The sequence below is a fragment of the Homo sapiens genome, chromosome 1 (genome assembly GCF_000001405.40).
Source record: "Homo sapiens chromosome 1, GRCh38.p14 Primary Assembly".
In the NCBI taxonomy this organism is placed as follows: domain Eukaryota; kingdom Metazoa; phylum Chordata; class Mammalia; order Primates; family Hominidae; genus Homo; species Homo sapiens.
The window spans coordinates 211940375-211956437 of NC_000001.11; the positions used below are offsets into that span (position 1 = coordinate 211940375).

At 39.7% G+C, this 16063-nt stretch overlaps 1 protein-coding gene across 6 annotated transcripts in view, besides 1 other annotated feature; it reads right to left on the reverse strand.

Moving 5' to 3' along the window:
- Positions 1–28: 28 nt before the first annotated feature.
- The window catches only part of INTS7 (integrator complex subunit 7), a 95155-nt gene continuing 79120 nt past the window's right edge, over positions 29–16063 (reverse strand). For 4 of the 6 annotated variants that reach the window (NR_037667.2, NM_001199809.2, XM_047417179.1 and 1 more), the window contains 4 exons: positions 12195–12327; positions 6233–6331; positions 4410–4595; positions 29–1737 (listed from right to left, as the gene is read on the reverse strand). Coding sequence is in view for 5 of the 6 variants with exons in the window: in NM_001199809.2 (NP_001186738.1) it covers positions 1450–1737; positions 4410–4595; positions 6233–6331; positions 12195–12327 (706 nt within the window). In the remaining variant the exon portion in view is untranslated. The remainder of the gene's footprint in view (positions 1738–4409; positions 4596–6232; positions 6332–12194; positions 12328–16063) is intronic. The other 2 variants (NM_001199811.2, NM_001199812.2) reach the window with 2 other exon arrangements.
- Positions 7185–7797: an enhancer, noted in NCBI's record as "NANOG hESC enhancer chr1:212120901-212121513 (GRCh37/hg19 assembly coordinates)". NCBI's record gives its function as "activates a minimal SCP1, AML or CMV promoter by ChIP-STARR-seq in naive H9 embryonic stem cells {active_cell/tissue: H9 hESC(naive)}" and the evidence as "EXISTENCE:reporter gene assay evidence [ECO:0000049][PMID:30033119]".

A 16063-nucleotide genomic window follows, 5' to 3' on the forward strand; every position in this document is an offset into this window, starting at 1 on the left:
GACTTTGAAGAGAAAAAGGCAAAACACAAGCAAAGAAACAGATATTTATTTAAAAAGGAAATTCCAGGGAAAGTACCCTGCTTTACCTTAGGAGCTGCATCCGGCCAAATTACTTATAGCATCGGCATCTGCAACCATATGATCCCTGATGTTTAGAAATCGTGATCCTGAAGCCCTAAATGATCCCCAATCAAAAAGCAGTTAAGTTATATCTACCATACTGTGCTAAGAAAGTCTATTTTATCATGGTTTTCAACCAGAATTAAAATAGGAAAAAAGGGGGTTTTCTGGCTAACCAGAAAACTCTGTTCCCTGAGCATCCCAACAAACTGAGCCTGTGTAATAAAGAGACTGCTCTCTCTAAACAATCAGTCTAGCATAACTCATCAAGTATAAACCAAACCAATCACCAACCAAAGGAAAAGATCCACCCCTTCTAACTTAAAACATTGAAGATATTAAATGAGTGTTCTTCACTTTTGGAAACAATGTGAAATGTCTGTATTATACACAGTTGCAGACACATCAGAAAAAACAAATTAATTTTCTATGAAATTGCTAGCTGCTCTTTGTTTCAATTAAATATGAAAATAATAAAGACTGCTTTAGCACAGGAAGAGATAAATATGTGGTTGAACTAATACAGCAGGATGTTTCAATACTGTTAGACTGTGGGCTTTCATAATCCAGAAGGCTGGATGTTGCACGGAACACTTTCAAGTCCATCTACAGAAGGACTCAGGTTCTGCTACCATGGATAAACCTTGTAGTGACTGGTCAGAACCTCCCAATGAACAACTCAGAATCCTAGGTCTAAGTCAGGCAGCAAATGATGTATTTTGGAAGAGTAGCGGTCAAATTTACCAATTCAGTGATCTCAACATGTGACTATTCTTGAAAGAAAAAAAAGCTTGGCAACAGAAAAAACTAATAATAAAACAAGAAAGAACAATCTTTCTGGCCAGGATCCCAGTTATTTTTCAGACAAAATGTATTTATTTATTTTTTTGAGACGGAGTCTCGCTCTGTCGCCCAGGCTGGAGCACAGTCTCGGCTCACTGCAAGCTCCGCCTCCCAGGTTCACACCATTCTCCTGCCTCAGCCTCCCAAGTAGCTGGGACTACAGGCGCCTGCCACCATGCTTGGCTAATTTTTTTGTATTTTTTAGTGGAGACGGGGTTTCACTGTGTTAGCCAGGATGGTCTTGATCTCCTCGTGAGCCGCCCACCTCAGCCTCCCAAAGTGCTGGGATTACAGGCGTGAGCAACCACGCCCAGCTGTCAGACAAAATTTTTAAGAAAACAAAATTTTTTCCAGAATATTACATTACAAAAATCAATGAATAAATGAACTACACTGTAACTTTAATACTTATTCCATATGAAAAACCAAACTGTTTCTGGCAATTTGATTGATCTCTTGAGAGTCTGCAGTGCATTCATTCCATGGTTAAAACCGTGTGTAGGCATTGCGTTGCTGCTGCTGCTGTAATGGCTGCTGGGCTTGCTGCTGTTGTAAGCGAATTTGCTGGGAATAAGGGTCTTCCAGGGATTTTACAAATATGGTAGTTCTGGGACCAGTCTTCCATACTATACCATTGGCATCTTTCACAGAAGATTCCACTGTAATGTTGTGTGTTCCAAGGATAGCAAAGTTCAACAGAAATTGAGTACTGAAGTAATCATTATGAGGTTCAACCCTTTGCTCCATCTCATTGGTCATGTTGTCAATGGGTATCTGCAATGAAACAATTGTTAACTAACAACAATGGCTAACATTTCTTCAGTGCTTACTATGAGTTAGGCCCTGTTCTAAGAGCTTATTTAGACCATGCAGACAATAAAAAATTAGGTACTGCTATCATCCTTGCTTCACCGATGAGGAGTCTAAGGCAGACAGGTTAAGTAATGTCTCCAAAGTCACATGATTAGTGAACGGAGTAGGAATCTGAACACAGGCAGACTACCTCCAGGGCCTACACTCTGAACTACTAAGTGATGCTCCTCACTCTACTTGAGTAGAATGAGCTCCCAGAGCCGTTGACAGCCCCTTCACATGCTGGCCTTTCTTCCTTGCTTACTCAACCCCATCTCTAAATCCCTATCTTCCTTTAGACTGTGAAGAGATATTCTGAAGAAATAGGATGAAATCACCTGTTCCAGAGAGTTTAAAACCTAAGAGACTGAAAAAGAACAAAACACTAAGCAAATTTAAGTTAGGTTCCCCCCCAACAGTTAGTCTGATTTTTATTACTTAATGTAGTGATTCCTTACTCCTTTAACAAATTAACTGAACCATTTGTACATTGCTCATTTAATAAGCACTGTTTTGTTCAGACTGGAAGTACAATATGTTATAAAACACAGATTTATAGGCTCATTCATTTAGCCAGACACTCATGCCTTTGTTCTTCAAAGACCAGAATAAAACCTGCTGACGTACTCTTACCTGTACCCAAGATGAAACGTGTCAAGAGACAGATTTATCCTGAGAATGCAAATAAAGGTGATCTTAATGTGTATTTGACCAAATTACTCTAGGTTTATGTGCGTGTTTCTGTGGTGTAATTAATTATATAAATGTGCCCTGCAGCTTTGTGTCTCAAGGAGCAGTTATCATGTCACTTTTCCAGAGACATTTACCTGTAATAGTAATGAACTGACGTCACCAACCAATTCAAGGTCTTAGAATTATTTATAGTACAGGTACTTTTTCACATTTAGCCTTTGTACAGTTTTTATTTCCCTAAAGAATATGCCAACCAAAGAACTTCCTTAAAAGGACCAGAAATAGGCCTAGGGAACCTGATCACCCTGAATGGATGGCTGCATCTTAAGCTGCAAACTCACTGTGAATAACACTGCAAAGTAATCATGTTATTACTCGGCTTATTATATCAGCTTCCTGACTTTAATCAATGCCTCTTGAGAGGTAGGTCAACAAGCAGAAGACCATAGCTTCTAGGTTTGAATGTTATTTTCTTAACAGTAGAAATTATATGCAAGTAACAAAGAGAATCATGGTTACTACTGTTTCAAATTCAAAGTGAAGAGAGAGTTGCAGACAGGGATAAATTATGTAAATTCTCATTACAACCTTCTGTGACAGCAGATACCCAATTTTAACAGTTATACTCTAAATATAGTAAATAATTTTTTCATCATTCACAAATTATTGAGTGGCTACATAAGGTACCATGCTGTATGGCACAGAAGTCAAAACAGAGGAAAAGAGGAGAATGAAGGCTCAGCCGTGTCAGAGTGGACAGAGTGCCAAAGTGAGAGGAACTTGCCATAGTTAAGAAAGTAGTAATGGCTTAAGAAAGTAATAATAGTTTAGAACCAGACCTTCCCTTGGCTTTTTAACCTAAAACCACCAAAGATAATAAAATGCTCTCTTTTTATACCTTCACTGATACCCTGCCTTCCATGCTATGCCACAATAAACCTGGACACAGCCAATCTGGGCATCTGAGTAACTTCGCTGCTACAACTGTGGACTTGGTCCCTTGCTTCATTTACTGTGGATAAACCACCAGGGAATCGGAAATAAATGTCTAAAGCAAGGAACATTCTTTATCTCGAACACTGGCATTTCATGGGCACAGATTCAGCATCTTAGCTCTGGCTAACAATGTAGCCTAATTCAGGTTATTACTTACCTATATCCTGAGTTCCCAAGGCAGCAAATCCCTAGGGTTACACTCTTAAAAAAAGATTTTACTTTATCTGATCATTTTATAGAAATGCTATATACTTTTTTTAATGATAAAATTTACTTAAAATGGAGAAAACTAAATAGATGTGTATTTTTTGTGGGGAGGGATTGGGTGGGTTAGGGAGACACTTATTTTCCAACTTCTGACGTTTGAAGGGACCTCCTGATGTAAGAGAGACCTTTCGTTAGATTAATATTACTGACCTAGCAGGGAGGAGGTGAGTCTTGCTGATGGGTGACTTTCTGGGCAGGAACCAGACATGGGAAGGTAAGCACTTGCTCTTTCTCTTCTGCTTTGGGCACCTGAGTCCTCTGTGCCCTGCCATAAATTTTATAGGGGCAGGCTCCCATACGTACTGACTGAGGCTGGGTGAAAAAATCCAATTCAGGGGTCTACGGTTAGAAAGGCCTTGCTGCCAGGCATTGGAGTTAGGTTTTCCCACAGCTCCAACAGTAATAAAACTCATATTTTGATCTTTGCCTGGATGCTTTGTCTCTATCAACTGGTTCAGGGAGAGAAAAAGAAGTGTTTATCAACCCCTTACAGCCCCAATGTGGGCTTTTAATTTATGTCCATCTGATCCCTTTGGAGGTATAACTGCAATCTATTTAACCATGAAAAACACTGGAAAACTTCCATCAATGAGCTCATATAAAACCTGTATCACAATTCTGCCTCTTTTCTAAATTACCTTGTAGTCTTGTCCAGATTTACTCTGCAGTGTGGAAGAAACATTCAGACAGACAGACTGAATTTTGCGGAAGAGTCCTGGTTTAGATCCGTGCTGAACCACTCCCTCTACCTTTAGCGCCAGCTGCTGGTTATTCTGGACAGCAATGGGCTCTGCAGGATTCCGGGGCGATGGTGACAGAGCAAGCTGGAATGCCAACACTCAAATAAATGCCAACAACCAAGAGCAAGCTTCCTTCCGACAAACATGTCTGTGCTAATCACTGGTTACAGGTTAACAAATTCGATTGTGCACTCCCCCACCCCCACAGGACCTGACTGTGCCAGGACAACGAGACAGATGTACCTTTAAAGTGCCTCCTTCTAAACATCACTGTGGTTTTCATCCCAAACCTCAGTTCTATTTGAGGATAATAGAGAATTAGAAAAAAGCAAAGGCACTATTCTCCCAATTTTTGTGGTGAGGCATTTCTTTGACAATGAACCACTTCTAGTAGGGAAAGGCATTATATAAATTTTCATTACCTAAGAGCTGTCTCTTTGGTCTTACGTAATTTTAAATAAACTAAATTCAAATGTAAATGAACTTAAAGTTCCAGGATTATCTACACAACGAAGTCACTGTGCTATAAAAAAAGTCAATATCTACAAATGAATCAAATGACATTTTTCACCTCTCATTAGTTTTTCTTCAAAAATGTATTAAAAATCCCAAACACATCAATTAAAGAAAGCCCAAGTCTTGCTAAATGAAAAGATGGAAGAAATTTGAGTCTTTTTGATAATGTTGTTGAACTACTGATCAACCCTGGAGACATCCTACTTTAGGACTTCTTATCTAGATCGTCAAATCTTCCTCATTATTCCAGTCATTTTGAAATGGAATGCTCTGTTATTTGTAATCAAAACATTTGCATGGATGTAAAAGTTTACTGAAGACATTAACTAACAGGGATAATCCAGGAGATCTCTTAGAAGTGACAATTTTCTCCCTTTTCCAACAATTTCATTTTCTGAATCAAAAATAGCTTTTGAATTGTGAGTGGCTTAAATATTTCAAAATACTAATTCTACTCACTGGTTAGCCCCTCAAAACATGTTACTGAAAGGCAGAAGTACTTTGGAAGAAGAACTGGTGACAGTTTACTGGATCTGATTCATTCTAAGTTGGGTCTATAAGTTGGGTCTGAATAGACTCAGCTCAAGATCCTTGCAGGCTACTGTGATAAATCACTAATTTATTCCTGGAGGTGAGAGACAAACAACAGAGCTCCAGTTACCCAAATGCCTGTCTCATAGAATTTGGCACTGACAATTAAAAAGGGAGAGAGTTTAACTCCCAAATTCATTTCTTTCACCAAACCACTTGATAAAGGAGAGAAATGGCTTACAACTAGGTTTTATCAAAACCAAAGGTAAGCCAGGCACAGTGGCTCATGCCTGTAATCCCAGCACTTTGGGAGGCAGAGGTGGGTGGATCACTTGAGGTCAGGAGTTCCTGACCAGCCTAGCCAACATGGTGAAACCCCATCTTTACCAAAAATAAAAAAATCAGCTGCGTGAGGTGGTGGATGCCTGTAATCCCAGTTCCTTGGGAGGCTGAGGCAGGAGAATCGCTTGAACCCGGAGGTTGCGGTGAGCCAAAATCACACCACTGTACTCCAGCCCAGGCGACAGGGCGAGACTCTGTCTCAAAAAACAAAACAAAACAAAAAAACCAATAAACCAAAGGTAACACACTGAAGTGTAGCTATGTCCTACATAATCTTCAGAAGACACCTGGTTTTAAAACCTATATTAACCTTAGTATTCTTCCTGTATTACCTTGATGCTGGTAGACTGTAGTTTCTGGAAAAAATATCTCTGGAAAGAAAGGGGAACTTTCAGCAAAGCAATGATGGCATTGCAGAGGCATGCTGTGTGCTGGGGGAAAAAAGAAACTAAATCAAATAAAAATAAATTTTCAAATTTCATCAACAAGTGGTACATTCAGTATAAAACTACAAATGCCCATATAGATTATTACAAAGGTACATACCAATCAAGAACTAGGCATCACATCCAGGAACTGTGCATACATACTAAATCATTCATTACAGATTTTTACTTTATTGTGAAGTATATTCAATAAAATATAAGTGACAGAAATGAGAAAATCCACAGTCCTCGAGGCCAAGCAATAGGCAAATTCCACATTTCTACAGCGCTCAGAACTATCAGTATATTATTAAACAATTATATTAGATACTAAAATATAGAGTAACTATCACATGGCAAAGTATGATAAACAGTATGGTAAAGAAGCCCGAGCATTTTGCAGGACTTTGGCTTTGAGCTGGCTCATTCTTTCATTAGGTGGCTTGTCTCTATGGCCATTGGTCCTCAGAGTAAGCAGTGGTGGAAACTTGGTCGAATTCAGATGAAAGAGGACTATATAGTCGGGGAATCCTGAAACTCTAATAAAATATCTTATTTCTCAAATCTGCCTCACACATTTAACTGAGTTTTGAAAATCCCAGCATGACTGCAGAGGTACAGAAACACCACAGAGAATATTTTGAGCCTTAATGAAAGTGGTCATAAAATCAGAATTTAAGCGTTCAAAGATATTTTAAAGATTACCCAGTCTAATAGAAGAAAACTGAAAGTATCATAAGAACACTTTTAACTTCAGGTGAACCAGAACCATTCCTGCTTGGTCTACTATCCCTTCCTCAGTCTACTCCCGTCTCAGTGGCCTCGTAAGTCACCACAGTGAGGCAGCGCTCCTTTCACGGGGGCACTAGCTGCGGGAGGTCTGTTCTTGCAGACCCGATTCAGCAACGGATAAATAAAGTATGCTGACACACAGATATTCTGCTCTGCCAGTCCAGCTGAGGGTCCCAGCCGCTTACAGGCTCCTGCTGAGTCCTGTAAACAGTTGCAACTAGGCCCTGATCAGCTAGTCAGACTCGCATTTATTCAGTAAGATTAATTAACAAAAGCTTGAGTCAACACCATTAGAGGGAAATTGACATTGTGGACTTCTGAGTAAAAGGCACTTAAGCACTCACGGTACATCAAAGGTTAGTCTTTATATGAGTAAACAAGCTAGCCAGGTAAACTACTCTGCCTTTCTTTATTACTATTTTAATTTGTTTAAAGGTAAAGAGATCAGGCCGCCTTCAGCCAGATCTATTACTGAAGTTAGGCAAACTTCTCAGCCTTCCAAGAAGATTTGTGTCTATTTCTATAACTATCTCTAATATTTTTCCCACCAGCCTGATTGAAACCCAACACCACAGGTTGAAAACTGCTGCATGCACCATGTGGTATGCTGTCTGTCCCTCTAGGCTCCTGCTTTCAAGCAGAGTGTCACCTAGTTGCTCATGCTGTAAACATTTTTTTTTTTAAAGTTGGGTGTTAAGGCTAAAAGCCAGAAAAATCCATTCCTTATTGGGTTCAGGCAATTGAACATTTTGTGCCCAACAGACTCATAGTACAAATGCCAAGTCTATTACCTGAGATAATCACAACACAGATTTAAAGACACTGGTTCTATTTTTTCAGATTTAACTGTTAAAATAGCATTAATCAGCTTCCTGCAACAAGTAATTTGGAAAGTATTTGCAGAGACATCCACCTTTGGTGGACCTCTGATGCCACACTAGTGTCTAAGGAGAGAAACATCTTTGAAGCGTGGACTCAGAGGACCACAAGGGACTTCAGGCTGTTTTCAGGCAGAAAGTCACCATTTTGCCTTTTAAAAGAATGGTGCAGATTTTGCAATACCCTCTTGGAAAAGTGTGGAGTGCCTCTGAGGTCAACAGCCCCTTGGGTATTGACCTCCATAGGTGTATTAGCAGATCACTATTAAGATGTCTGGAGATGTAAATTACGTATCATGATCAGTAAACCAGCAGAAAGACGTTAACGCTTTTTGTTTTGTTTTGTTTTGTTTTTTGAGACGGAGTCTCTCTCTGTTGCCCAAGCTGGAGTGCAATGGCACAATCTCGGCTCACTGCACCCTCGGCCTCCCAGGTTCAAGCAATTCTCCAGCATCAGCCTCCTGAGTAGCTGGGATTACAGGCATGCGCCACCACGCCTGGCTAACTTTGTATTTTTAGTAGAGACAGGGTTTCACCATGTTGGTCAGGCTGATCTCAAACTCCTGACCTCGTGATCCACCCGCCTTGGCCTCCCAAAGTGCTGGGATTATGGGCATAAGGCACTGTGCCTGGACAATGCTCTCTTAATTGTCAATCCAATGGATACTTTTCAGTCTTTGTATTTTCTGACATTTCTGTGGCACCTGATAATGCTCTTCCTTCCATGAAATTCCACCTAATAGTCCATACCCTTATTTCTGATTCTTCCTTTTGCCATCTTCTTTTTAAAGAGCCTCTTCTTTTGTGTGTTCCTTAAATGCTGATGCTCTCCTTGTTGTCTTCTCTTCTCAATCCATGTTTTTCATAGGCAATTCTCCCCACTCCCGTGACTTTAAGAACTTCTATGTGCAGATGACCTTATATGCATCCCAGCCCATCTTTCTTCCAACTGCAACGTATTTACTATCCAACTGCCTAAAGACAGCAACATGTTTGAAAGTAAAACCTTCATCTTCTATCACCTCTCTATATTCTCTCAGTAAAGGATCAATCAGTTGTGTAACTGATCATTCAAGCTGGAAACCTGGAAGGCATGCCTCCATCATCTCATGTCTAGTTAAAAAACTCAGCCTTGAAAATATTTTCACTAAATATCTCTCATATATATCTATTTTTCTCATTCCTACTGCCATTTTAGTAATTTGTTCCTTAGTTTGGATTACTGAAAAAGCCTTGTAGTCATTCTTCTTTCCTCTAATTCCACACCCTGCCAGCCATTTCCTGTTTTGCTTCTATATGATAATATACAATCTATATTAAGCACTTCTCTCTCCTACCCATTTACAATTTCTAAGAAGCCCCCCTGTGCCTAAGGACAAAGTCCAAGCTCCCTTATACTGTGTTCAAAGCCTTTTGTCACCTGGCCACTGGCTACCTCTCTGATTTCATCTCTCTAATCCCTAGCCTGTATGTTACATTGAAGTAATAACAAACTGTTCCTAGAAGACATCACCCTATTTCATGCCTCTGCTTTTGAATATGTTCTCTACCTGAGATTCCCAACCCCTTCTTATCTGTCTGGAAAACTCATATACAAATACATCTTCCCTCTCAACTGCACCACCAATCCATTTTCCCTATCTTTTGATGTGAACTACTCTCTTTTTTGTACTACATCTCTACCTTGTGCAGAATTCTATTAATGCACATATACTGTATTGTGTTTGTTTATAAAATCTTTCTTTCTTAGACTATGGACAACTTGAGGGAAGATCCTGTGTCTTTGTCATTTTTCTATCCCTAGGATCCCATAAATACTTGTTGAACTGAATCTGGAGGCTCAGACAGTAACAAATCTATAAAGTACAACTTGGAAATACAGAAAAAGGGAAATAACTTACTTACTTACTTATTTATTTGAGATGAAGTTTCACTCTTGTCACCCAGGCTGGAGTGCAATGGCGTGATCTCGGCTCACTGCAACCTCCGCCTCCCGGGTTCAAGTAATTCTCCTGCCTCAGCCTCCCAAGTAGCTGGGATTACAGGTGCTTGACATCATGCCTGGCTAATTTTGGTAGTTTTAGTACAGATGGGGTTTCACCATGTTGGGCATGCTAGTCTAGAACTCCTGACCTCAGGTGATCCGCCCACCTTGGCCTCCCAAAGTGCTGGGATTACAGGCATGAGCCACTGCGCCCGACCGGGAAATAACTTTTATTAACCACTCCCTATATGACAGCACTGTGCTAGGCAATTAGCATTATTTCATTTAAACCTCACAGTAATCCTATGAGGCAGGTATGTTTTCTACTTCATATAAAAGGATGTTAAGCAATGTGACTAAAGTCACACAGCTGCTGAGCAGCAATGCCAGAATTTGAACCTAGTTCTGAATGAGCCTAGGGCCCTTTTCTCTGTACTGTGTCTTCTGCTGGGCAGAAAATTCCCATTCCGTTATATTCAATTCCATCAAAATGAAGTTTGTTTAGCATCTATTTCATTTTTTAGGATGGAGCTTAGAAGAATATGAAAATAACCACTGTCTCACACAGATGTGTGTATTTCTTTCAAAGACTGTCTTTACACTCTCCCTTAGCAAACAATGTCACTGTCAAACAGCTGTCAATTCAATTCAGTAAATACTATTGACAATTTTACATGGAAAGCAATATGTCAAAGGAATTGCCCATCTTTAGATCTAACCTAACTCTTTAATGACATCCTATTTATTCTAAAACACTTGATAAAGCATGAAAGTACAGAATGAGAAGAGCAGAAGCAGAAGAGAAACTCTCCAAGGGGTAAAGTTCAAAGGCTGGGAATTGGGAACTGAATGTTTGTGTTCCCCCAAATTCGTATGTGGAAGCTGCAACCCCCAAGGTAATGGCATTTGGAGGTGGGCCCCCATGATGGGATGAGTGTTTTTTTTGTTTGTTTGTTTGGTTGGTTTTTTTTTGAGACAGAGTCCTCGCTCTGTTGCCCGGGCTGGAGTGCAGTGGCGCTATCTCAGCTCACTGCAACCTCCGCCACCCGGTTCAAGCGATTCTCCTGCCTCAGCCGCCTGAGTAGCTGGGATTACAGGCATGCGCCACCATGCCCAGCTAATTTTTGCATTTTCAGTAGACACAGGGTTTCACCATGTTAGTCAGGCTGGTCTCAAACTCCTGGCCTCGTGATCTGCCCACCTCACCCTCCCAAAGTGCTGAGATTACAGGCGTGAGCCACCGCACCCGGCCAGGATGAGTGTTCTTAAAGAAGAGGAAGAGTGACCAGAGCTCTCGATCTCTCCCTACCATGTGAAGATGTAATAAGAAGGTGGCTGTCACCAGGGCCAGGAAGAAAGTCCTCACCAGGAACCGAATCTGCTGGCAGCTTGATACTGGACTTTCCTGCCTCCAAAACTGTGAGAAATAAATGTCTGTTGTTTAAGGTACCAAGCCTACGGCATTTTGTTATAAAACCTGAGCAGAGATACTGGGGAATGGTCAGACAGGGAGGAGAAAATTTGGGTGAGAGTATGTTAGCCTGTCCTGTGACTGGGAAATCAGGGGAGAAGATAAAAAAAAGGGTGAGTGCTCTGAGAACTTCTTAGGAAGTGCCAAAGGCAGCAGAGATTCAGCAGGGTAAAGGCTGAAGAGTGTACTGAAAGGCATTAATGTCATCACCTGGTAGGAAATGACTCATTGCCAGTCAGCCAACAAGCCCTGTTCTTTCTGTTTCAATTGTCCAGTGGTTCTCCCAACCATGGCAGCATGACAGAATCACCTGAGTGTGTGTAAAACTACTAATGCCTGGGCCACAATTCCAGAAACTCAGAGTTAGCTGGTCAGGGGTGAGGCCTGTATATTAATGTATTCTTTAAAAAGCCCTCAAAGTGATTCTAATGTGTAGCCTGCGTTGAGAATTATTGCAACTTCAGTTAAATTGTTAAAAAAAGAAAAAATTTTATTTGCATTCTGGTAGAGCAGATTTTTATATATTAATATAACTACGTAGCAGCTAGAGATGTGCTAAGTACTTTCATGGATTATCTCATTTACTCCCCACTACAATGCTGTGAGGTAGGTATTAACCCTGTTTTATGGATAAGGAAACAGGCACAGAAAGGTTAATTTGTTGAACTCACACAGTAAGTGCCATAAATGTATGAAAAACCCACATCCATACAATAAAAGCTCAATAAAACAAATGCCACTTGCCATATAAGAAACAGGGGTATATTTCCGATTGAGTGATTCTACCTCCTCCAAGACATGATTATATACAGACATCATTCTTCTTTCATATTCACTATCAGCATGGGCTGTTCCAGTAGATCCATATTCCTGGAAACTGAAGTAAAGGTCAATATTCATTAATCCATCAAAATAGCATGGCTATTTAATGCCTACATGTATCAGGTACTTTCAACATATTTTCATTTAATTTTTAAAATAATGAAGTTATTTCCATTTACAGGTGAGAAAATTGAGGCTAGGAGAGGGTAAGTAGTTTGCCTACAGTCATACAGCTAGTAAATGGCAAGCCAGAATTCAAACCCAGGTCTGACTTCAAGTTATGTAATTCTTAATCTCTTTGGTTGCCAGGAAATATGACAGTGTTACTGCCACAGGTGAAAGAGACATAAACACATCTGAAAAGGGGACTATCAATAAAGCCAGCAGATAAGCTCCAAACCATCCATAAAGATATGTAATAACAGGTTAGATATATAAATAACAGGTCAGAACATGGAGGAATGTCACAGAAGAAGAGAGTCTTGAACATATCAGTAGGTAAGTAAGATGGGTAAACTTTGGAGAGATGGAAAGTACAGGACATTCATAGCTAGAGAAATGGCATGAATCTAAAGCATGGAGATGAAACGCATAGGCACGTTCAGAAGACAGTCTGTATACACAGCGTGCTGGGATAAGTTTAACCTAGATTTCTTTCTTTTTCCTCTACTGCTTTGAACCCCTGCAAATTTCTGAAAACATTTCTAAGTGAAAAAAGGCATTTCTATTTTATTTTTTTAACTTATTATTTTTTAATTTTATTATCATTATACTTTAAGTTTTAGGGTACATGTGCACAATGTGCAGGTTTGTTACATATGTATACATGTGCCATGTTGGTGTGCTGCACCCATTAACTCGTCATTTAGCATTAGGTATATCTCCTAATGCTATCCCTCCCCCCTCCCCCCACCCCACAACAGTCCCTAGAGTGTGATGTTCTCCTTCCTGTGTCCATGTGTTCTCATTGTTCAACTCCCACCTATGAGTGAGAACATGCGGTGTTTGGTTTTTTGTCCTTGCGATAGTTTGCTGAGAATGATGATTTCCAGTTTCATCCATGTCCCTACAAAGGACATGAACTCATCATTTTTTATGGCTGCATAGTATTCCATGGTGTATATGTGCCACATTTTCTTAATCCAGTCTATCGTTGTTGGACATTTGGGTTGGTTCCAAGTCTTTGCTATTGTGAATAGTGCCGCAATAAACATACATGTGCATGTGTCTTTATAGCAGCATGATTTATAATCCTTAGGTATATACCCAGTAATGGGATGGCTGGGTCAAATGATATTTCTAGTTCTAGATCCCTGAGGAATTGCCACACTGACTTCCACAATGGTTGAACTAGTTTACAGTCCCACCAACAGTGTGAAAGTGTTCCTATTTCTCCACATCCTCTCCAGCACCTGTTGTTTCCTGACTTTTTAATGATTGCCATTCTAACTGGTGTGAGATGGTATCTCATTGTGGTTTTGACTTGCATTTCTCTGATGGCTAGTGATGGTGAGCATTTTTTCATGTGTTTTTTGGCTGCATAAATGTCTTCTTTTGAGAAGTGTCTGTTCATGTCCTTCGCTCACTTTTTGATGGGGTTGTTTTTTTCTTGTAAATTTGTTGGAGTTCATTGTAGATTCTGGATATTAGCCCTTTGTCAGATGAGTAGGTTGCGAAAATTTTCTCCCATTCTGTAGGTTGCCTGTTCACTCTGATGGTAGTTTGTTTTGCTGTGCAGAAGCTCTTTAGTTTAATTAGACCCCATTTGTGAATTTTGGCTTTTGTTGCCATTGCTTTTGGTGTTTTAGACATGAAGTCCTTGCCCATGCCTATGTCCTGAATGGTATTGCCTAGGTTTTCTTCTAGGGTTTTTATGGTTTTAGGTCAAACATGTAAGTCTTTAATCCATCTTGAATTAATTTTTGTATAAGGTGTAAGGAAGGGATCCAGTTTCAGCTTTCTACATATGGCTAACCAGTTTTCCCAGCACCATTTATTAAATAGGGAATCCTTTCCCCATTGCTTGTTTTTGTCAGGTTTGTCAAAGATCAGATGGTTGTAGATATGCGGCATTATTTCTGAGGGCTCTGTTCTGTTCCATTGATCTACATCTCTGTTTTGGTACCAGTACCATGCTGTTTTGGTTACTGTAGCCTTGTAGTATAGTTTGAAGTCAGGTAGTGTGATGCCTCCGGCTTTGTTCTTTTGGTTTAGGATTGACTTGGTGATGTGGGCTCTTTTTTGGTTCCATATGAACTTTAAAGTAGTTTTTTCCAATTCTGTGAAGAAAGTCATTGGTAGCTTGATGGGGATGGCATTGAATCTATAAATTACCTTGGGTAGTATGGCCATTTTCACGATACTGATTCTTCCTACCCATGAGCATGGAATGTTCTTCCATTTGTATCCTCTTTTATTTCATTGAGCAATGGTTTGTAGTTCTCCTTGAAGAGGTCCTTCTTGTCCCTTGTAAGTTGGATTCCTAGGTATTTTATTCTCTTTGAAGCAATTGTGAATGGGAGTTCACTCATGATTTGGCTCTCTGTTTGTCTGTTATTGGTGTATAAGAATGCTTGTGATTTTTGTACATTGATTTTGTATCCTGAGACTTTGCTGAAGTTGCTTATCAGCCTAAGGAGATTTTGGGCTGAGACAATGGGGTTTTCTAGATATACAATCATGTCATCTGCAAACAGGGACAATCTGACTTCCTCTTTTCCTCATTGAATACCCTTTATTTCCTTCTCCTGCCTGACTGCCCTGGCCAGAACTTCCAACACTATGTTGAATAGGAGTGGTGAGAGAGGGCATCCCTGTCTTGTGCCAGTTTTCAAAGGGAGTGCTTCCAGTTTTTGCCCATTCAGTATGATACTGGCCATGGGTTTGTCATCGATAGCTCTTATTATTTTGAGATACATCCCATCAAAGTCATTTCTAACTAAACTTTTGAAAATACAATGTAGGTAATTTAAATATGCTGGGCATAAGACTACTCTGATTATTCCCTACTATCATTTTAATGCCTACTATGTACAAGGCATTTCAGCCAGGTATTTTACATATATTAGTTCATTTAATCTTCACAACTACTCTGGGAAACAGGCATCATTATCTACCTACAGTTTATGCATACGTGGCTCACTGAGATGACATACATTCACAGAGCTAGGAGTGACTGGTAAGGGATTCATGTTCACATTTGCTGGGCTCCAAAGTTCTGTTTCCTGTTCTGTACTATATCTTAAGTTCTATTAAGACAAGAACTGAAGCTCATTTGTATGATGGACTTTAAGGACAGCTAAACTACATAAAAGACTTGCTAACAAAACAATTCCATTTCTGGTGGTAGGCAACCACAGATTTGCTTTTTATCTCTGTACATAAGATTTGTTTCCTGATAGTTCATATAAATAGAGCCATACAATACATACTCTTTTGTGTATGGTGTGGGGTAAGGAAGATTATTTTTTCCCTTTTATATATGTAGTTGTTCTAGCACAATCTGTTGAAAAGACTATTCTTTTCCCATACAATTATTTTGGCATCTTTGACAAAAATCAAGTGACTACGTGAGTATTTCTGGACTCTTAATCCTACCCTTAAACCATCATCACATTGTCTTAGTTACTGTAGTTTTATATTAAGTCTTGAAACCAGTAGTTAAGTCTTGACACTTTAGTTTTTCTTATTTTGCAATATGGCGAAGTACTTAAATTGATTTTCTAATGTTAACCCAACCTTGTATTCCTGGGATAAACCCTATTTAGTCTTAATGTATTATATTTATATAT